General features: G+C 38.7%; 1 protein-coding gene across 19 annotated transcripts in view, besides 1 other annotated feature; it reads left to right on the forward strand.

The window, feature by feature from the left end:
- The window catches only part of SPAG16 (sperm associated antigen 16), a 1,126,038-nt gene that overhangs the window by 120,551 nt on the left and 981,091 nt on the right, over positions 1 to 24,396 (forward strand). The window lies entirely within an intron of this gene.
- Positions 6,515 to 7,714: an enhancer, noted in NCBI's record as "MED14-independent group 3 enhancer chr2:214276253-214277452 (GRCh37/hg19 assembly coordinates)". NCBI's record gives its function as "activates an origin of replication core promoter dependent on BRD2, BRD4, P300/CBP and CDK7 cofactors, and independent of MED14, by STARR-seq in HCT116 cells {active_cell/tissue: HCT116}" and the evidence as "EXISTENCE:reporter gene assay evidence [ECO:0000049][PMID:35650434]".

A 24,396-nucleotide genomic window follows, 5' to 3' on the forward strand; every position in this document is an offset into this window, starting at 1 on the left:
TGCTTATGGTTGCTAGCTCCTATACAGTTATTTTACTTTATTTTGTCCATAAGCTAGTAATCGTAAACACATGCTTTACTTTTTCACTACTGTCGAGTGTAACAATGCAACAAGATGAACCTAAGGTTTACTTAAGTGCCAGTTGTTTTTGTAGTGGGAGAATCCTTCAAAGTATGTAGTCTTACATATTGCTGGAATTAAACATCCTACAGTTAATTTTAGCTATTAAGATTTCCATTTTTTATGTTTTTTGGAAGAATATAAGTAAATGATTGTCCTAATTTAATCCATGGAGGAAAATTATAACAATTTTTAAAATTTTATACTATCATGGATACATAATAGTTACACATATATATGGGGTACATGTGATATTTTGATATAAACATACAATGTGTAATGATCAAATCTGGGTAAATGACATATCCATCACCTCAAACATTTATCATTCCTTTCTGTTGGGAACATTCCAAATATTCTTTTCTGGTTATTTTGAAATATACAATAAATTATCACAAACTATAGTTGCCCTATGGTGCTCTCAAACACTAGAACTTATTCCTTCTATATAACTGTATTTTTGTACACATTAACCAACCTCTCTGCCTTTTCTCTCCCACCTTCTTTTCCCAGTCTCTGGTAACCACCATTCTATTCATTACCTCCATGAGGCCAACTTTTTTAGCTCTAATATATGAGTGAGAATAAGCGATATTTGTCCTTTTGTGCCTGGTTTGTTTCACTTAATGTAATGTCCTCCAATTCCATCCCTGTTGCTGCTAATAACAGGATTTCATTCTTATTTAAGTTCTTTATTCAGAATTAAAGTATTTTATAGTCAATGGATAAATCCAACTCTTGATTAGTTTATATGTTCTAGGGAGGATAAGAGAAAGCAAAATAAGGGTTTTCAAAGTTCTTTAATCTGGTTAGCACAAAGGCTACAGGAGTTGAAGTATGCCAAAAAAGAGGTTTACATTTGGATAATAAGAAGAGGCATAAAGTAAAATAAAATTATAGTCAAAAGTGAGGTTGCCTTAGGTTCAGCATCTTTAAGCTGATAGTGGCAAAGGCAATGGTCAATTACTGTAAATGTCATTTTCTCACCCTTTTCAATAGTTTCCTGTTTTCCAGAATTTTGTTTTTTTGATGTATCATGAATTGGATAGTGGAGCTTTGTAGTAGAAGAAATGGCTTATTAACTATGTGCAGTTACTTTATTCATTCATTTCTTTACTCATCAGAAATTTGCATACAGTTTGGGAGGCAGTGGGTAGGAATGGGAGATACCAAGGAAGATGGAAAAGCCCTGCTTTTCAGGATTTCACACGCCAGATCAAATGGATTTCATAATCAAAACAAAAATTATTTCACTTGATTCTAAATTGCTAACTTTGGAATAGTTGTGTATATATACTAATTGAGAGCCAAGGTGATGTCATTATTTTATTTAACCATACATTAAGTTGTAATTTTTATTTATGTGATTTATGAAATAATGTTATGAACCAAAATAAGTCAAAGCATTGTATTTTAATTAATCAAATATTAACAATTTTAATTCCCTCTATTAGGATAAAGGATGTTACCATATTATACAGAAAAAAGTTCAGTTTAGAAATAAGACCTAAGCGGTGTGCTCACCATTGTTCCATCTGTATGGGCGCACCCTTCTATGTAGAAGTAACTTGCCTTGCTGAGAATTAAAAAGAAAATTTTATATGCGAGTGCAATTTCTTTTGTGGCACCAAAACTTTATATATAACAATTTGGGGTCTCTCCCGGGATTACATTCTCCTCCAGGACGGTCTCTCCTCTCTCGTGAGGAGGCGCACCCAGCCCTAGTGTGGTGGCCTCAGGGGTGAGAAATCAAGACCCACCCCAGTGCAAGGAATAACCCGAGCTCTCAGCGACGCGGATTTAAAAAAAAAAAAAAAAAAAAAGGGAAAAGAAACTGGCCAGCAACCTAGCTTAAAGGACTCTCACATACTGCGGCGACCACTCTGTGCACAGACCAAGGAAGGAGAAGCCGCGGGAGCGGGTAGAGTACCTTGGTGGTCAAATTCTGGAGGGCTAAATGTGTGTGTGCGTGAATGATCACAAACAACCCTGCTTGCAGTGTTGTTCGTGTGGATGGTGACAAGTCCTACTGCTGGACAGTGTGAGTGGGTCCTCTTTGCAGTTCTACCTTGGCGGAGCGGCCAGAGAGGACAGCACAAGTGGGAAGTGTGCAAAGGACCTTCAGAGGGGGAAAGGGAGAAATAGGTCAATCTTCCAGGACAGGCAAGACACCCCCTGGTTTGAGGGGTTGAGCCTTCCAGGGCAAGCAAGGCAAGACGCCCCCTGGTTTGAGGGCTTGAGCCTTCCAGGACAGGCAAGGTGAGACACCCCCTGGTTTACGGGGTTGAGCCTTCCGGGACAGGCAAGGTGAGACATCCCTAGTGTTGAGGGGTTGAGCCTTCCGCTAATTTCAAGGGTTGAACTTGACACAACCCCCCCGTTCAACCCCTTTCCTTTCTTCTCGGGAGAAGAAAGAGTAGTTGCACTCCCGCAGGTCCCTACCCTAGGAGAGAGAGAGACAGGAGAGAGAGAGAGAGAGAGAGAGAGAGAGAGAGAGAGAGAGAGACAGACAGACAGGAGAGAGAGAGGGGGAGAGAGACAGAGAGGAGAGAGACAGAAGAGAGAGAGAGAGACAGAGGAAAGAGAGACAGGAGAGAGAGAGACAGGAGAGAGGCAGAGAGAGACAGGAGAGAGGCAGAGAGAGACAGAGAGGAAGAGAGACAGGAGAGGCAGAGAGAGAGAGAGGAGAGAGGCAGAGAGAGAGAGACAGGAGAGAGGCAGAGAGAGAGACAGGAGAGAGGAGAGAGGCAGAGAGAGAGAGACAGGAGAGAGGCAGAGAGAGAGACAGGAGAGAGAGGAGAGAGGCAGAGAGAGACAGGAGAGAGGCAGAGAGAGAGACAGGAGAGAGAGAGGAGAGAGGCAGAGAGAGACAGGAGAGAGGCAGAGAGAGACAGGAGAGAGGCAGAGAGAGACAGGCAGAGAGAGGGAGAGGCAGGAGAGAGAGAAAGAGAAAAATAGAAGTAGTAAAAAAACAAAAACAAAGAAAAAAAAACAAAAAAACCAGTGTACCCTATTCCTTTAAAAGCTAGGGTAAATTTAAAACCTATAATTGATAATTGAAGGTCTTCTCCGTGACCCTGCAACACTCCAATACCACCTTGTTGTAAGTGTAAACAAGGGCATAGCCAGAAAGCACTGAGGCCACTGACAACCTGTAGCCTTCCTATAAAAAATCCTTAACCTAGTAATCTGCGGATGGCCAAATGCATTCAATCTGTAGCAGCAACTGCTTTGCTAACAGAAGAAAGTAGAAAAATAACTTTTAGAGGAAACCTCATTCTGAGCACAACTCACCAGTTTAGTTCAGGACTATCCTAAGTCAAAAAAAGCAAAAAGGTAGCTTACTAACTCAAAAATCTTAAAGTATGGGGCTATTCTGTTAGAAAAAGATGATTTAACATTAACCACTGAAAATCCCCCTAACCCAGCAGGTTTCCTAACAGGGGATTTAAATCTTAATTACCGTACAAAGGTCCGACCAGACCCAGGAGGAATTCCCTTCAGGACAGGACCATAGATGTTTCTTCCCGGGTGAATGAGGGAAAAAGACACAATGGTTATTCAGTAATTGATAGGGAAACTCTTGTAGAAGCAGAGTTAGGAAAATTGCCTAATAATTGGTCTGCTCAAACATGCAAGCTGTTTGCACTCAGCCAAGCCTTAAACAGAACCAGGAAGGAACCATCTATACCAATTCTAAGTTAATTTGGACTAAACAAGGTCTTATTAATAGTAAAGAATAATTAAAATCCCAAACTTAGAAGGTTTTCAAGAAACGTAGCTTGCTAAAAGTTAGCAGTGTAACACGTATTATCCTAACTTTTAATCTTGTGGCCTTAGACAGTCTAGTCCACAGACATGAAGGAAGTTCGCTTTGAAAAAGAATGGTTATCTTCAAGAGGGAAAAAAAAAAGTGGGGTGGGAGAATTTACATAAAAAGGAATGTTCCATGGTAAATTATTGTCCTGAAATAAATTAACTGTTTTTTTTTTTTAAAGGGGATGTTTGTGACAAGTCAGAAAGTTGAGGCATGTCGAAAAAATATCTCTGAAAGTTGTGGGAAAAAAAGGTTATAAAAGGGAATTTATGCAAGAAATGTTGTATAATTTAAAAGTAACTAGGCCTCCTGAATGTAAAACTATTTATTCTATAAACAGTTTATGTGCAAGGTGTGTAAGAAAAGTAAAATATACTTTTGGTAAAAAGATTGTAGGGAGGCATAAGAATGTGGATTTTTACCTACATTAACAGGTTAAAAAATATATATTTTGTTTTAAAGGTTTAAGCAAGTTGTAAAACGTTAATTGTAAAGAAAATTGTGTGTGTAAACATACTCGCTAAAGTTAAAGAGGTATCATCCAGTTTTTCTGTGAACTGGACAGTAAAAGCATAACAGGTTTTTCTTAACGCACTAACCTGCTCTTTAACAAAAATTATAAAAGGTTAAAAAGAGTCTATAAAATCTTACCTTAGGGCCAGACATTAAAAATTGAATAAATATATCTACAAAGTTTTATTAAAACTAAGTTTAACATTAATAACACACTAATATAAAGGTGAAATTTAGCTCATCGGGTATAAAAATCATACAAGAAGCATTATCAAATATAAAATGGTATTTGGCTTTCTTTGGTCTAAAAACTAATAAAAATAGGTGCTAAAGGAAATTTCTCAGTAAGAAGGCACCAAGGACTATAAAGTCCTCTGCAGATGTCCCCACACTTAAAAGGTCAATTTCTTAGAAATTATATACTTGGTTTATCTTCCACTTTCCTTTTCCTCAAAACTAAAAGTCTTTTAGCACAGGTACCATCCCTAGAATTTCCGGTAAACGGGAACCAGCCTGAAGATCACGTTCTTATCTAGGGTGGAAAGAAAGAAAACTTTAGCGATCCTGGGAAGGACCCTACCTTGTGCTGCTAACCACCGAGACTGCTGTTCGTACAGCAAAAAGGGGATGGAATCATCACACCCGAGTCAAGAATGTGCCACCCCCTCCAGAGTCGTGGGCCATAGTCCCAGGGGAAAACCCTACCGAACTAAAGCTAAGAAAAATTTAACTCTCTTTCATCTATTCTATTACTCTTTATTCTTTCCTCTATCTGTTGCTGACCATCTAGTTATTAACATAAGCAAGTCAATTTTGCCTCAAACTACTGCATTTAATGCTTGCGTTGTTATACCCTGAAGGAACTTACCAGGTCAAAGACAGTTTTCTATTTCAGAAAAGGAAAAGTACCTGTGTCCCTCCTGACTCTTCTCAGACTGGGCATTAGTAAATTGGGACCATTTAATCCAAGGAGATTTCGATAAAGACCTAAATGTCAACCAGGAGTCTTGCCCCCGATGTAGAGCTTTTATGCTGTAGTTGGTCCAACGTTCTGTGGCCCACTGAAGAGCAAAGATGGACTGCAAAGATGGACTACAAAAACCAACTGGTTTTTGTAATTTCCTAAAACCCTACATTCATTTTACTAGAGAATCATAGAAGTTAAAGACTTAAACTTTGGCAATTAAGACAGGATACCAAGATGCAAATGCCTAGTTGGAATGGATCAAATATTCCGTCCACACATTAAACAAAAGCAATTGTTACACTTGTGCGCACGGCAAGCCAGAGGCCCAGATTGTCCCCTTTCCACTAAGGTGGTCCTCCAGTCGACCAGGCATGGGCTGCATGGTAGCTCTTTTCCAGGATTCTACACCCTGGAGTAATAAGTCGTACCAAGCTCTCTCTCTCTGCTATATCCTGAAGTCCGGCACCCTGCGGGTCAGCCCCCGAGGGCCATCCAGCTTCCGTCTCCCAACAGTAAGTTAACTTTGTGTCTCTCATGACAGGGAGGAAACCTAGTGTTCCTTAGAGACCTGAAGGGATGCAGTGAGCTTAAAAATTTTCAAGAGCTTATCAATCAGTTAGCCCTTGTTCATCCCCAAGCAGATGTGTGGTGGTATTGTGGTGGACCTTTACTGGACACTCTGCCAAATAACTGGAGTGGCACTTGCGCTTTAGTCCAATTGGCTATCCCTTTCACCCTGGCATTTCAACAACCAGAGGAAGGAAAAATAAGACATTGTAAAGCAAGAGAAGCCCCTTATAGGTCTTTCGACTCTCAAGTCTATTTAAACGCAACTGGAGTCCCACAGGGAATATCAGATCAGTTTAAAGCCTAAAATCAAATAGCTGCAGAATTTGAGTCAATATTTTGGTGGGCGACCATTAATAAAAATGTAGATTGGATAAACTATATCTACTACAACCAACAGCGATTTATTAACTACACTAAAGATGCTGTTAAAGGAATAGCTGAGCAATTAGGGCCACTAGCCAGATGGCTTAGGAAAATAGAATAGCCTTAGACATGATATTAGCAGAAAGAGGAGTTTGCGTCATGATTAAAACTCAATGTTGTATCTTCATCCCAAACAACACTGCCCCCAATAGAAGTATAACAAAGGCATTGCAAGGTCTGACTGCTCTATCAAATGAGTTAGCCGGTAACTCAGGGGTAAATGACCCCTTTACAAGATGGCTAAAACAGTAGTTCAGTAAATGGAAAGGAATAATAGCCTCGATTCTTATTTCCCTCGCAGCCGTAATAGGTGTACTTATTCTTGTCAAGTGCTGTGTCATACCATACATCCGTAAGTAGATGCAGAGGCTCATAAAAACGGCACTTACTAAAACCTCCCTTAACTATCCTCCACCTTATCCAGAGAAACTTCTTTTGAAAAATCAAGCAAAACAGCTAAGCCATGTTAAAAAAAAAAGAAAAAAAGGTTTGAAAAGAAAACTATAAAGAATACAAGGGGAAGGATTGTTAGATATGGGTTCTAAATTTCTTTTCAAAGAATTAATATGTCAGTATGTTCAATTCTTTGCCTTTTACTTGTAAACTTCCTCGTGAAGCAACCTTTTTCGTTTCCCTGACTCATCTGATTACCTACTCCACCCTGACTCATTCTGATCACCTACTCCACCCTAACTCATTCCGATCACCTGCTCCACCCTAACACATTCTGATCACCTGCTCCACCCTAACTCATTCCAATTACCTGCTATCTGCTCTGCCCTGACTCCCAACAAAGCACTCACCCTGTCATTCTCTTTAAATTAGCCAATCGGAATTAGTTTAACCTGTGTGGTCTAACCCTAGCCAATAGGGGAACAACACAGCAGCAGGGGCCACATGTGTCAGGGATAAGAACCCCTTCCCCTCCCTTGTCCAAGTGTGTGCTCACCATTGTTCCATCTGTAAGTGCGCACCTTTCTATATAGAAGTAACTTGCCTTGCTGAGAATTGAAAAGAAAATTAAAAAAAATAATAATTAGACATGGGCATTGTTACTCTAAAGAGCACCTCGTTTAACTTTTATGAATCAAAGTTTTATCCTATGTTGGTCCTCAATAAATCCTATCATACTTCCCATATTAATTTCTGTAAGTTAATTAGAGTGACATCTTGTGCCACTCTCAGTGTTTTGTTTGTTTATTTTTTTTTGTTTGTTTGGCTTTTCACTTCTCACTAGTTTCCTACCCTCCAGAATTTCCCATTTTTGGAGAAGCGCTAAAGGCTTAGTTCTAGGACTGATTCTATGTCACAGGGGCAATGAAGAAAATAAATGAAACCAGCATGGCATAAAATATAGAAGAGTAAGAGGAGAATATAATGATAAGAGATAGATCCTAGGAGTAGAGGCAAATAATAGTGTCATAAAGGAAAGATTTAAAAAATGAAAATTAAAAATATGAATTGTCTCATCCAAAATGGGTTAGAAAATTAATTTAAAACATTATTATTAAATTGATAATTTTAAAATCTGCAATGTTAGATTTATAGCACTGGATCTACATACTATGTATAATGTGAGGATCTTTATAATATCAGGTAGTCTTGAGTTATATTGGGTAATGCTGTTAATTAGTATGTTGATACTATAAATGGTGTTTTATAGTTGGTACTATAAATGATACTATAAATGAGACTATAAATGGTTTTACTGAAGCATAAATGAATAGGATAATTGCATTACCATTCTTGTTGCATTTTCTGAATGTATGTTTTCTAGAGAAAATGCTATGCTATTTCATAGAAGTTCATGTGTGTCATAAAAACTAATCCTAAGTGTTCATTCATTTCTAATAGTATCCATAAGATTAAGTATTATTTAAATTTTTTTGAAGTATCAGGTTGCTGAAATATTAGTCTGAGGATAACAAAATCCAGTAATAGTTTTTCTTCCTACAAAGGTCATAGTTTTATATGTGTGCATATGTGTCTATGTGTGTGTATATCTACAAATTAATTAAAATTGTTGAGCATCTCATCATGTGCTAGACATTGTATAGGTTATACTTTACATATGTTTCCAATTTAAAACTGTCATATGAAATTTAAGAACTTTCTTATAACTATTGAGAGGACTACATATATTATTCAAATATTATTTATATTTTAAATATGTTTTTAAAAGATATTACGAGCCAAGCACTTGTAGCACAGACTAGTGCATAATTAAGGTTTCTGATAGATTTGGTGAATTAACAAAAAATTGTTAAGTTGGTAGTGAGCTAAAAAGATGGCAGGGTAAATTAACAAAAATGGAAATACGTGATACTCCATATCTCATCCCTTGGAATTATGGATCTGACTACATCATCATTATGTCTGGCCATGACAGCACAAACCAACAATTTAACTTCTTTTCGATCTAATAGTGTTTGGTACATGCCATAATCATATTGTTAGTTTTTTGGGATATTTCACAGTGCAAACAAAGTTATGACAGATTGATCAGAAGCCCTGGGTCTGGTAAAATAGAATAGCCCTGGTCTGTTTTTATCCAGGTGTCACTAATCTTCATGTTTAACTTTGTACCTGAAAATATAAAATAATAGCTAATTGTGCTTTCCCATTTCATTTATGTTTCTTCAAAGAACCACAGGATTTTTATGTTTAATAATTCATTTTAACCACTCTTTTCCAATGTAGACAGTAGGAAACACTAAATGCAAAAATATGTGCAGTAGGTAGTCTCCAAACATAGACCCCTCAATTAACTACACCTCCTGCTATTCAGTTCCTAGTGTAGTTCCTGCTACAGTGGGTCTGAGCTAATGGATCTATGAGCTTTCTTTTAGCATTAATTACTTGGAAACAATTTTCAGTTTCTTAAAAATTCAGTTTATTTAAGCATGTTAATCTGAAAATTTCTTTATTATTTTAAGATTAGTTCCTTAATTAATTAGACATTTTTTACTGTAGAATATTTATAAATCTCTGTTCTTTATTAAAAAACCTGAAAATTTTAAATTTTAGTTTAATTTATAGCTTGAATCTAGATTTCAATTTGTTTATTCTTATTTTAGATTATGACTTTTGAGTTTTCAAATTCTCATTTTCAAACAGGAAAATGAATATAAAAATGTAGTGTTGAGGGACTGTTTTTCCCTCTAAGTCTGGACTGTCACATGATTAATGTAACATAAAAGTGATTTTATATCACAAAAGTGATAAATTCCCATTCTTGTGACATACTGCTAATGCAAAACTTTAATCACTGTGCCTTCAATAGGAAGCCAAAATAGTCTGACTTAAATTTAATGTAAAATAAGTAATAACCGCTGATAAACTATTTGACCTAGAGTCTTATAAATGATAAATGAGGACTTAAAGCTCTAATTTGTCCCTTCTTAATGGACTATATATGTATATAAGTAACTGATGTCATTGCTTCATTCTTGGTAGAATGTGCTGTCTGTTCTTTGTGACATAGTCACATGGATGGCAGCAGGCAAAGAGAGAATGAGGAAGATGCCAAAATGGAAACCCATGATAAAACCATCCCATGTCATGAGACTTATTCACTACCAGAAGAACAATATGGGAAAACCGCCCCCATGATTCAATTATCTCCCACCAGGTCCCTCCCACAACACGTGGGAATTACGGGAGTACAATTCAAGATGAGATTTGACTGGGAACACAGAGCCAAACCATATCAGGCAGCCAAGCTAAAGCTTGATGGGTAGGCAGGAGGAAGCTAGGTAAGAGAACAAGGAGAGGCTGTGCCAGCACATGCAAAGATCTAGAGGTCAGCCCCAAGCTTTTCAGAGGGGCCAGGGAAGCATGCAAGGAGCATGCAGTGTTGACAGCTGACCTGGGCCAGGCCATGGAGTTCCTTTGAAGCCATGCTTAGGAATTTAGGTCATTATCTGAAGGTACTTCCTCAAATTCCAACTCTCTGAAGCGGCTTAGAAACTTTGTGCCTGGAAATATCATTTTTTCAGCACATGAAAAAACAATTGAAGTGGAACAAAACTGGACTCAATGATGCCAAGTTGGGAATAAATGCAGCAATCTATCTGGGTGAGAGATGGGCACAGGTTGGCTAAGAAAGTAGCAGTGTAGGTATTGGGAAGAATAGACAGATTTGGTACTTATGGGGCAAATCTTCATGGTTGATTACGTTTGTAGTGTGTGTATGAGAAACAGGAATCTTCAGATGTTTTTGGCTGGGTTGACAGTGTTATCATTCATTGGAATTGAAGAAAAGATGAGGGGAAGGTTTTGGAGGAGAGGATATTATTAATTGGTTTATGACGTGAGGGAATTTGGATGTCTTTGGGACATCTGAGTAAAGCTGCTTGGTTAACTGTCGTACACAGAACACTGGAGTTTAGGAGAAACTTGGGAAAATGAAAAGCCCCAGGTTGCTGCAAGGGAATAGGGTCTAAGGGGAGGGAACTTGGTTGCAATTAAGGCAGGAAGCTGCAGTTAGTTCTTTGTGAAGATGTTGAGGATGTAGAGGAGTTGGTTAATCATAAAATAAGGATAATATAAACATGTAATGAGAAAGATTGAACACAAACATGGAAGATTGTGAAGATGAGATGATGGGAATCAGTAGAAGGCCAGAAGGGACACACATTGTGAGTGATAACCTGATGAGCAGGATGTCACATACAGTGAGTTTGCTGGCCCATGGCTGTAAGAAGGAATCAATGCCAGAAGCTCTTGGCTGAATGGGGGCTGGGAAAGACTTGACATTCTCTCAGGAGTCTGAATAGATCATACTTCCAAAGTCCTAGCCTGTGGTACATGCAGAGGCTTTAAATGCAACCAACTCTGCCACACACATATGCATTGTCTGTGAGCTACAGGCTGCTGTTTACACAGGCACTCAGAATGTATCAGGGACCAGATCTTTGTATGATGAGACTCGGGGTAGGGTCCCAGCAGTCATAAACCTACTTTTAGGAGCCAAAACTAGGTCATAGCCTATATTGGTTACTGGAAAATTAGATCAGCTTCGTGTGTAAACACTATTTCAGGGAATGTGGTCCTACTCTTGGTGGTGTGAATACAGCATGCTATATAACACTTGATGTTTTAGGCAGCATTACTTGACTTGTTTTTTCTTTTTTTGTTACACCACAGCACTTGGGTAAAATATTTATATGATTCACTGAGATAAATGAACAAGGCATTTCATTGAGGAGACCAGCCATTGGGCTCTGGCAGTCGTAGGTCTTTCCTGGCTATCCCGGGGTGGGGGCTAAAGAGGAGCGTTTTGTATTCTTATATGAGATGGTCAGTTGGATCCAGCCACAAGAGGAGACAGAAGAGAGGATCAGGAAAACAAAGTTCATTATACTCATGATCTTAAAGACAGGGGGCACAGTAAACCATGCTAACTGGGAAAAACACCAATGTGGTCAGGAGGCAAAACATAGGAGCAAGGGAAAAGGATTAGGCCAGAGCCTTTACTGAGGTTTCCACAGGAAGGGCAAGGCAGGACAGACTTAACAGTTTAGAATTGGCTAGTTTGAATAATTTCAGCAGGCTCTAAGCTGTAAGTGTGGCTGCTGGTTGCCTGGTACCTAACTCTGGGATGATTAAAGCAGAGGCACATTGACTCGTGGGGTGTATGGGCCTGTTAAAGGAGGTAAAGCTCTGGATTGGTTAGTTTGCTTATCAAAGGCATGATCTTGGCTAGACTTTCCTGTCTTTAAGAATTGGCTAGCCTCAGGAGGTCAGAGGTCAAGCATCATACTATATAGAAAAGTACAGACACACACACACACACAATACAAGGAACAATATTTTGGGTATAGCCATAACCTATTTGAGGCAAATAAACTGGAAAACTTTGCTTTAGGGGGATACATGAATGTTATCAGGGCTTTTGCAAATGCCAGGACTTCTGACAACTGTTTAGTGTTTTTGCTTTCACAGCTTCACAATATCTTATATAGAGAAAATGGTGTCATACTTCTAAGAAATTACTTTTGTACAACATGCAGGGAACTAGACCTGTTTTTCTCCTTTTTCACTATAGAGTACTCAGTGGCACATGGATTTATGTAAATATTAAATGGCTATAACTTGCTTTGTTAAAAACTGTTATAGAACTATTCCTGCTGATTTCAGTGTAAATTAATTTTGGTAAACCTTAACAGTTTCTCTTTGTAACTTAAATTTTTTAAATAGAAAATACTATATTCACATGGCAAAACATTCAGAAAGTATATTAAGGCATAACGAAGAAACTAAAAATCTATAATCCTACATTCTGAAATGGTAATTATGCATAATTTAGAAACTTACCTTTTTACTTATCTATAAAAATATATTTTTATATGAGTAAATGTATATGTAATCATGTCAATCAAAAATATTTTCCTCCTATTTTTCCTCCTTTTATAAACAAAGATCAAATTTAGAAATTTATTGTGTTTCAATTTTTTTTTTTTTTGAGACAGTTTTGCTCTTGTTGCCCAGGTTGGAGTGTGCAGTGGCACGATCTCGGCTCGCTGCAACATCTGCTTCCCAGGTTCAAGCAATTCTCCTGCCTCAGCCTTCCAAGTAGTGGAAATTACAGGCATGCTCCATCACACCCAGCTAATTTTGTATTTTTAGTAGACACGATGTTTCACCATATTGGTCAGGCTGGTCTTGAACTCCTGACCTTAGGTGATCCACCTGCCTCAGCCTCCCAAAGTGCTGGGATTACAGGCATGAGCCATGTGCCCGGCCTACAGCATATATACTATTAAACATGTATACACATATATGCATACATGGTATTTATAGATATACATGGATATTTATATCCATCTACACACACACACATATATATATATGCACACATGTACACTTCTACCCACAAACATACACACATTACTATAACAAGAGCATCCTTCTCTGTTACCAGGATCTGGAGCTCCTAAAGGATGTTCCCAGGTCATTCTAGGAGATTTCCAGGGCATGGTCTGGAGGATTTCCAGGAAGAGGTTTCACTTATACCTTCTATCATATTTTACATTCTCATTTATACTAAAAATTTTGGTTTGATAATATGTTTGATTCAAAGAGCTGTTTGTTATTCTCTAATTTTTTCATGACTTCCTATTTTTCTCTACTGGATCTTGATGAATGCAGTATATTCTTCAAGGGTAATAATTAGATTTATTTTGTATGGTCTTTTGATCCTGGCACTACTCTTTTATGTGGAATCTTGCTTTTGTTTTTTAAAATGTGTTTTATTGTCTCCTGTAATGCTTCAGGATTACTGTAAAAGGCTTCTGGTTATTGATTTTATGTTTACTTTTATGAATGGCTCAATGTAAAATCTGAGTTGAATCCCTACATAGATTACATGGATATGTCCTCTGGAAAGCTTTGTATAGATGAGTGGATAGGCAGCTGATCATTGCTCTGGGTCTTTTAAAAGCCAGAATTCTGGGAGCATTGCTTAGGGGCACCATCAACTATACAAATTACTGATTGATTTATTTCTTACTCTTACCCAGTATTTGATCAATTTCTTTAGAAAGGAACCATTTTCTCCCAAGGTCTAAAAGCCTGTTTCCTAATGCTGCTATGCTACAGGAGTAGTATGGTAGGAATAGAGAGAGTGATGAGGACTGGGAATAAAAGGGGTAAACTGTCCTGTGTAGATCAATGAATCCTCTACTCTTAGCTCCTCTTCTCACTGCTGTGAGAAGCTTACCTGTTTTTTTCCTAGTGCTATTTTCTGTGTGGATATGCAGATCAAGTGAGTTGTCTCTGAACAATAACTCCTTCCTGAAAATTCTAGTCTATGGTTCCCCCTTGTATTCTCAGTCAATATTTTTCAATAACTTTCATTTCTCAGGACCTTATGTTGTTTTCTTTGTATTTGTACACATTTTAATTTTTCTTTACATTAAATATTTTAGCCGTTGCCCTTTCCACGCTCCTCATTATGCTGCCTTTTTTACTCCCTAATATGCTCATACAGAAGGTCATCTTAGTAGCACTAACTGTGGTCAAATGAATAAGGGATGAAGAAGAAATTATTTATAGAAAAGGATCACATGCTGAGATTTGTAGTACTCGTGTAGCACTTAACACCAGGCAATACATATATGACATGAATGTCTGGCAGGCATTCAAGATATAATGATGTCCAATAACATTGAAAAAGAACACCTTTTTAAAAAATTAAGATTGTTTTTCTCTTGAAAATAATTTTGCATTAAAAGCATGTGCTACTTTTTTTTCTTTGAAAAGAATTCACATTACATGTGTGCTACTTATTGATATATGGACTACATTGTGGTTTGCCATATTAGATTATAGGTTTTGAACCAAAAGTATGATTTAAAAGGACATGTTAAAAATAAATAATGAAGAGAGTTTAATAATGTAAGAGATCCGTATGAACAAGTAGTGCTAAGTATGTATCTCACTTCAGCTCCTGCAGTGGGACTTTCACATGCAAATAGATGCATTATGGGTACCAGTTATATGTAGTTATCTCCCTTTTCCTCAAGTAGATGAACGTATGACAGGTTGCATTTACAATAATCCCTATGGATAATATTTTTTTCTAAGTATATACAAGATATTTTTTTATACCTTTATTTTATCAAACATTAAGCAATAACTAAAGCAATAAACATTGGTTTACAATTTTCATTTATACTGTATCTCAGTTGCAATGTTGCCTAGCATGTGACATATCTTCCACTGACATTTGTAATGCATGTCAAAATAAAAATGATGTTTATTGCTTTCTTGGAACTTACTCTTCACGGAGAATAAACCCTGGATAAATGATGCATTTGATCTGATGATGAAATATAAGAACAGTGATATGTATTGTTTGGAATAATCCATCAAAAGACACTGTCAGTGTATCCCTAAAGAGTGTGCTTATACTTTATATGTTGCATTTTTCTTCAGAAACTGACTGATAGTACCTGTTTTTGAGATGACAAAAAGAGAACAGAAGAAAATGGGTTGCTACATGAAGCAAAAGTTAGTGCATTATTACTCACAAGTAGTGTTATTGTAAACTGGAAGGCACATATACACACTTTCACTCTGAAAGTCAAAGGCCAAGAAAATATTTTAGAATTTGCACAGCAGTGAAGGACGTGAATATGTATGGAAACATGCAAGTTGCCTTAATACTCTTGAAGGAATTAAATAATTGTCTTAAGGCCATATATTGTTTAACCATGGTTTATTCTGTGTTATGTAAAATTCTTATAGTTCTTTTAATAACCTAATACCACTATGGAGTTTCTAGAAGCAATACATATTTGCTATAGAATGGCTTATGGGTTAGTTTTAGTAACTTTTTGTTAGTTTTTTAAATTCTTTTTAAAAAATTAATCACTCTTTTGCATTCCAAAAAAAGAAAGCAATACCCATCATGCATGTTCACATATACACATACAGAATCACTAGTCTGCTTGTTTGGTATGTGGATGGGAAAAACAGAAATTATACTGATGGCAGCAGTGGCCCATCTGGAGTGGCTGCTGTGAAGACAATGGCTGCAGCAGGGGAGGTGTGGCCAGGGCTGCAGGAGAGTCACAGCTGGGGCTGCATCCTCCCAGAGCCAGCAGGCCTGAAACAGGCGGGAGCCTTGCCTCCTACCAAGTGGTGGAGCAGGAGCCCCATGCTCTGGGCACAGCTGCAGCCACCCAGCTGCAGCTCTGGACCTGGGCATCCATATACTCTCGGGGTCCCAGGAAGCCACCCTGCCCCCACAGGCTTGGAAGTGCCTGTTCCCACTGTCTGGCCTTTCCCTGCTCCTGGCACCCACTTTGGGGCAGAGCAAAGTTGTGGCTGAGCCCAGGTGCTGTTGCAACCCAGCCAGGTGTGCGTGTGCTTGGGGTGGTGCCGACTCACCAGTCCCCCGCCATTTGGCCCCCTCCAGACATTGGGCACCAACAAACACAAGAGAGAGGCCAAAGGGGTACTGAGGGTGGCTCAGCTCAGGTCTGCAGGTGCCCCTTGGCATGAACAGCCTGGGTGCTGTGGATGACATGTAGATGGTGGCAGGAGGCAGACAGGCTCCTGGGCAGAAAAATGTGGGTCCCTGGTGAAGCCCCACCTTCAAGCCAGGCATGGCCTAAAGCCTGGGGGCCAGGCTCCCAATTCCCAGTGGAGTCCACAACTGGGAGTGAGGACTTGTGGTGATTTTTCTGGGCCCACCTATGGCCACCCAAGGACCAATCAGCACGTATTTCCCCTCTTCTGAGCCCATAAAAGCCCCAGATGGACCCAGCCAGACTCACACAGACATTAAAACTACCAGCTGTGGGAAGGAGCTACCCAATTTGGGTCTCCTCAACTCATTCAGACAACCTGCCTGCAGATAGGAGCTACCCACTCCAGATCTCTGCTGAGAGCTGGACACTCATCAGGACGACCTGCCCGCAGAAAGGAGCTACCCACTCTGGGTCTCCTCTCTGTGGAGGGCTGGAAACGCATTGGGCTGACGTGCCTGCAGAAATGAGCTACCCACTTTGGGTCTCCTGAGAGCTGTTCTCTGTTCTGTCACCCAGTAAAGTTCCTCTCTGCCTTGCCCATCCACCTACCAGTTTTTCATGTACCTCATTCTTCCTGGATGTGGAATGAACTCGGGACCCACTAACTGGTAGGGGACTAAAAGAGCTGTAACCCAAACAGGGCTGAAATGACCCCCTGCTTGCCACTTTGCAGGTGATGAGAAGGAGAGAAGAGCTGTGGCCCTTCAGGGAGCCCAGACCTAGAAGCTCCACGAGCCAGTGCTGTGACACCCTCTTTGGGGCTGTGCAGTTTCAGATGTTTCCAAGCATCCAGACGCCACTGAATTCTCATCCAGATTTGGGTGCCCACAGCAGAAGTTGCTTGGAGTGCATCTGATCCAGCTCCAGGCTTACACAGATCCAGTGCCTGTGCCAGTGCCTGGAGCTGCCTGCCCCACTGCAGCAGCTGGCATGCCTGGCTGTGCACAGTGGCTGGACCTGGTTCTCACTTGCTCACACACCCCTCACCTCTCTGCTCCTGGCTTGCCTTTGGCTGGTGTGGAATCTGGGCTGTAGCAAGAGCTGAGCACAGCCTACCAGGCCGAGTGGGCAGAATGAGCCCAGCAGGCCCAAGCAAAACTTGGGCAAAGGTACCACCAGCCACAGAGGTTTCTGGCTGGAAAAGTGACACCCTAGGGATCCTGTGACAGTATCAGAGTTCCTTCCCCTTACTCTCCTTCCCTCCCACCCTCTGTACACACAAGAATGCAATTCTCTAATTTCTGACCCAAGATGGATGATTCTTGTAGGCTGTGTAATTTACTCCTTTGCTGACATGGAATTAATGGTTCCTCTAGATGAAGGATTAGCCCTGTTGCTACCATTTTTCCCATCTTTGTGTAACCTGAGAACTAGCATTTGACATCCAAGCCTTAGCCTCAAGATACAGATATAACTCAACTAACAGCATCCTTAGTCTATGATGACAGCTTAGACTTCTAAGTACTTTTCTCTTCCCTGCCCTAGCAGGGATTTCCATGACAGCAAGGCTGTCTTCTCTAGTCTTCCTTTCCTTAGGCTGTTACTTCAAACACTAGAAGCTTGTCTTTTATTGACTTATTTTCTCACAAGTCAGACAGAAGTGTAAGGGTTTGGCTACTGTTGATATAAACTTTTATCTCATTTAGGGAGATGAATCATTCTTCTCTCTGGATTGTGTTAACCAGGACCAAATGATCTCTTATTTTATGATAGATTTTGATCCAGTACATTCTTGCTATCTAAAACCTGAATGTTCATCTACCCTTAACTTCTATTTTTTCATCAAGGGTAGAATATAATATGAAGAAGGAAATTCCTATTCCTAGACTGAAACTTGCTTCACTTTCTTTGTGTGTAGCTCCTAACATTAGATATAAACAAATATGTAATTAAGAAATATTTTTAAATAGGGTTAGGTTACCTTAAAATTAATGATACAGGATAGCAGTGTGTTGAAAATTAGACCCTGGAGAGAGGGATGGTGCCTGTACTCAGATGCTAGGTTGGTCACATACTAGCTGTGTGGCCTTATTCAGTTACATAGATTCTCTGTGCCTTAGTGTCTTCATTTGTAAAAGGGGGATAAAAATTAAATCTGCTGCCTTTGGTTGTTGTGAATCTTACTGTTTCAGACAATTCTGTTTCAACTATTAGCTGTTATTAATCATGATGACAATACTAACACTATTAACGAAAGACAGTTTGTATATGTCATTTCATTTTGGTTCTTTCAACAATGCTGAAATAAGATATGTTATTCTCATTTTTTAGGTAAAAATACTAAAGCCCAGGAAGTTTTATTAATTTTTGCCAGGTCATTCAGTCCGTCTGTGTCTAAACTAAGCTCAAATTTAAGATTCTCCCTCAAAAGCCTTTTTTCTCGTCTGCAATAGATAGTCTCCCTTTATTTACTGACTTTTGTTATAATGAGGATCCTGGGTGAAAACTAGTATTATCAGAGATATCTTATTTTTACAGAGCATTTCAGCAGAGTACATTTCCTACATTCATAGTTGGCTGTACAGGTTATTGAACTTTATGATATGATGCAGGAACTCAAAGAGCACTTTCCATGACAAACTTAATTTCCTCATATACTTATTCTAGTGATACAGAGAGAAAGGAAGATGAAGGAAGGGATTCTTTCAGGGGGAAATAAGTGTAGTCAGGATGTTATAGTGAACACTTTGATCCTCAAAGGGTCAGCATGAGAAAGAAAGTTGTGAGAAGGAATCAAATGTTAGGCAGATATATGAGGAGGGAAATTTTCAAAGACACTCAGTTCCTTCATAAAGTAGTTTAGTCAAAATAATTGTTATTAGAAGGATTAGAAGATTAAATGACTTTAAAAAATGAGTTAATTTATGTGCAAGAATATGTCTTTTTACCATTATAGAGATTTGAATATATATTTAATCACATTTATTTTTTAAACCCGACTTTATGAACTAATATGAAAAGATGGACACATTGTTCTTTTCTTAGCAGAGTCATATTAAGATATATTATTAAAACACTCTCAATTAGTAAAAATGAGATCTTTTTATGGCTAATTTACTGGAGTTATCTTTTTCTTAGATATCAGAGCTTATTTTAAAGTGTACTTCTTAATAATTTAATAACCCATCTTTAACTTTGAACATGTTAATTTTCTGCTACCTTAATGACTCTAATGGCATAAAAAATAAATAGTACATTTATGCACCATTAAGATCTGGCTGTTGTTCTGTTTCATACTGCTGGGAACTCATGCTAGAGATGCTATAGTCCTTACATTTTTTAAAGATACCCTTTTACAATTTGAGCTTTGAGAATCCAGAATTTTAGGGGTCTTTTTCAGGAGTCTTGTTCTTCTCCTAGGCTCTGGGCTTAGGAATAAAACCTCTACTGAGCTGGGAACCCAGCCACTGAGTTATATTCATTTCTTTGCCATGGCCTTTGGGGAGACCTTATAGTTTGGAGAGCCTTTGAAAAGAAGCAAGATTTGTTGTATTCACTGTCAGGAGTGTGTCTAGTGTTTTTGTCAGGAATAAGGGATATACTCAAAGTAAGAGTATATATGAATGTGTGGCAATATAGCCAGGCACGGTGGCTCATGCCTGTAATCCCAGCACTTTAGGAGGCTGAGGTGGGCGGATCACGAGGTCAGGAGATTGAGACCATCCTGGCTAACATGGTGAAACCTCGTCTCTACTAAAAATACAAAAAATTAGCCAGGCATGGTGGTGGGCGCCTGTAGTCCCAGCTACTCGGGAGGCTGAGGCAGAATGGTGTGAACCTGGGAAGCAGAGCTTGCAGTGAGCCAAGATCACACCACTGCACTCCAATCTGGGTGAGAGAGTGAGACTCCGTCTCCAAAAAAAGAATGTGTGGCAATACTACATTAGTGCATATAAATGTGTAGGCTGGGTATGGTGGCTCATGCCTGTAATCCCAGCACTTTGGGAGGCTGAGGTGGGTGGATTGCCTGAGGTCAGGAGTTTGAGATCAGTATAGCCAACAAAGTGAAACCCCATCTCTACTAAAAATACAAAAAAATTAACTGGGTGTGGTGGCATGTGCCTGTAATCCCAGCTACTCAAGAGGCTGAGGCAGGGGAATTGCTTGAACCAGGAAGGTAGAGGTTGCAGTGAGCCGAGATGGCGCCACTGCATTCCAGCCTGGGTGACAGAGCAAGACTCCATCTCAAAAAAAAAAAAAAAAAAAGGTGTGCAAATTGTTGCAGGAAAAGTCGTGTATTTCCATTTCTACTATACTATCAGCATTATATGAATATTCTATTAACATTTTATGAGATTTCTCAGTATACTAAATCATGCCTTTTAACAATTAAAAATTTTATTTCACATGCTGACATGACATTTTACTGTGTTAAAAGTGGTGGCATTCATGCTCCAATAATAGAAAACAGGGCTCCATGGAGTAATAGCTGATACTAAGCTTGGGCCAGGAAACATACAGGTTGAGCCTGGAGCATGTTGTAGTGCCAGGAAGCATTTTCTCATTCCATATTCTTACCAATATGTGTTATCATATTTGCCAATAGGATAGGTGAAAAATATTTGCTATTATTATTTTAACTAGTATTTCTTCAATTATTAATTAAACATTTAAATATATTTATTGGCCACTGGCAGTTTTCATTTTATGAAATGTCTGCACAATATTCTGTACTTATTTTCAGCCTATATGATTTATAAATGATCTTTATTGAAGAAGGACACTAATTCTTGTCTTGTACATTGCAAATATTTTTGGCAGTTTTCTATTATTTTAAATTTGTTTATGATAATGTTAACCATAGAAACTTTTTATTTAGCCAAATTTACCACTCTTCTTACTTTTTGGATTTTTTTGTATTTTTATAAGAAAACGATTCTCATTTGAGATTATTGAAATGAGCACCCAAATTTTCTTCTAGTACTTTTATAGTTTTATATTTTATATTTATATCTCTAATTTATCTGGAATTTATTATTGCATATTTGGTGTGAGCTTGCAATCTAATGATTCTTTTTTCCTATGGCTAATAAATGGTTCATTTTTCAACAATCCAAGTAGATTTTAGAAAATCTACAACCTACACAGACCAAAAATATTCTTGATATTTGTATTATGTATTATCACTGCTAACTAGTTTTTATAATGATGATGTTTTAATTCTTATTTTTGCTTCTCTGGCTAGAAGGTAGATACTATAACCTTCTCTTCTCCTATACTACCATCATCTCTTTAAAACCTCATTAACTGTTCTTAAAAGGGTGAACTGTTCTCTAAAAGCATAAATCTGGTGTGTGTGTGTGTGTGTGTGTGTGTGTGTGTATGTTTATATTTAAAAGGATGAACTTTTTCAAAAGATTATTCTGATACATACACACACACACACACACACACACACACACACACACACACACACACAGGGCTACACTCTATAGGATCCTTTATTTGATATTTTGCTCCATGAATAAATAACCAAAGTTTTTTTCTTATGTGAATGGAGTTAACTATTAAATTTCAAATTATTTTTCTTTCCTTTTAAGATTATAGGTTTATTTCGCCTTTTGCCTAAAAACAAAACTAGTGAAAATTAAAGTATAAAAATAAATACAGTTTACATTAATGGACATTCCATTCAAAGTAAAAATAATGATAATAATACATCAAAAGCTCACAGCATTGTCTGGCACCTGTATGAGAAAAAGTTGTGAACATAAAATAATATGCAAAATACATAGGCTTTTACTTTTAAATTATATCACACTCAAGTTGCTCATCCTTAATCTAAAGCTAACTTTAACTTTCTCCAAAACATACTATTTGTTTTAGATAATTTGCATTAGTATACCCAAAACTTTTAGCATCTTTCTTACTGGACAGACGCACAGTGATATGAGTAAGCTGAATCCTTAGTTTTTTGTTTATCACATTTAGAAGATAATTTCATATACTTTGCCTGTAAATTTAAAAATTAGTAACTGGGATTTTTTTGACTGGCTTCTAATTTGATACACCTTGCCTGTAAATTTTAAAATGGTAACTTGGACTGTTTTGACTGGCTTCTAATTTTCTGGTTCACTCATTCTATATGCAATACATCTCAATAAGAAAGTCGAGTTTACATGCAGGGTAAATTATCATTTTCTGTCTATAGGTGGATGTGAAAGTTAAATTTTAGGTGGAACAGAAAAATCAGAGAAAATGATCTTTATCTACATATTCTCATCCTGAAAGCAAAGACAGCAAGGACCAAGTTGCTATTCTTCAGAAAGAGTTGATATATTAAATTATAAGGATATTTTCCATCATATCTCAAGTCTGGTTGTCAAAACTGAGCATCTTATCTGCTTTATAATGACTTTTTAAGAAAGATTGTTTTTCTGGAAAGTGGCTATCAGTAAAATATTCAGTGTAGATTTAATTTTCTTTGATGGATATATAATTAATCTAAAAATTAGTACATTGTATTTCCTAATTGTGATATTGAGGGAAATAGTACTAAATAGAGAATCTAGCCCTGGTCTCTTATGTAGTTAAACACATCATCAACAGCTAATATAGAAGATGGCAGAGTAGAGGGTTTTCTAGAGTGCCTCACCAACTCTGAAGAAGCAAAATAGTGTGTAGAATTCACAATGTGAAACTTTATCCAAGAAGGCACACAGGAATTCAACATAAAGTGAATAAGAACTTTAGATATTGGGGAAGAGAAGGTAAGTGGGCAGCCTGTGTGGTGGTGTCTGACTGAGAGCTGTGAGTGAAGTCCCAATATAGGAGAGGGAGAAAAAGTACTCCTCTGCAATCCACATTTCCACTGGGGAGCCGTACAATCCAGGCTGTGAGAGAATACCTTGCCCTTCCCAAGCCCTGAATCTAAATTGGAGAGAGGCTAAAACACTATGAGAAGGGACATCACTAGGAAGCACCCCAAGCATTTTCCAGTACTTGGGACCTGATAGAAAAATGTGATTCTCAATCCTAGCTCATACAAAGCCAGGTGGGATTCTGTGATCTAGCAGCAGTGGCAGACTTGGGCATTAAAGGAGCTTGGACAGGGGATTGTAATGCTGGGTTTGGGGCAACAGAGGGGCTCCCACAGCCAAAACTGAGAGATGAGTGTGGCATTTGCTCCAGCTGTGGGCATTTTAATAGGGCTCTCTCCCTTCGTGGGTGGAGCAGAAGGAGATTTGCCAGAGAGGCATGGTTTTGTCCCGGTTTCAAGTTATACAGCTCAGTGTGACTTTGCAGACTAAAGGTATACTGCACATGACTTTACTGAGTGTCTCAACTTGCTCCCTTTATTGGGTTGGGGAGTGAACCCTGCCAGGTCTAAAGAATGAGAGGAGAAGGCTGGGCATGGTGGCTCATGCCTGTAATCCCAGCACTTTGGGAGGCTGAGGTGGGCAGGTCACGAGGTCAGTAGTTTGAGACCAGCCTGGCCAACATAGTGAAGCCCTGTCTCTACTAAAAATACAAAAAAATTAGCTGAGCATGGTGGCAGGCTCCTGTAATCCCAGCTACTCAGGAGGCTAAGGCAGGAGAATTGCTTGAACCTGGGAGGCAGGGGTTGCAGTGAGCCAAGATCACAACACTGTATGCCAGCCTGGGTGACAGTGTGAGACTCCATCTCAAAAAAAAAAAAAAAGAGTAAGGAGAGAGGTGGGTCCTATATTCGTTTGCCTAGATTAAGGACTGGGCTGCCTCTGCCTTCCTGTGCCAACTTGATACAGCAATAATTGCTCTGTCTCAGGAATAATTGCTTCTCCCTCAGGAATATCTCCAAGGTGCCTGCCCGTTGCTCCTGAATTCCCACCAGAGATGGTGCTTTTACACACCATTGCAGGGCCTGAGTGCAGAATTTCCCTGTTGCCCTTTCCAGTTCCACCCAACTTGACCCCCACCACCTTCCCACAATGCTGGACCACAGGACCCAGATCATTAAGTTGCTC

Source organism: Homo sapiens, chromosome 2 (assembly GCF_000001405.40).
Source record: "Homo sapiens chromosome 2, GRCh38.p14 Primary Assembly".
In the NCBI taxonomy this organism is placed as follows: Eukaryota; Metazoa; Chordata; class Mammalia; order Primates; family Hominidae; genus Homo; species Homo sapiens.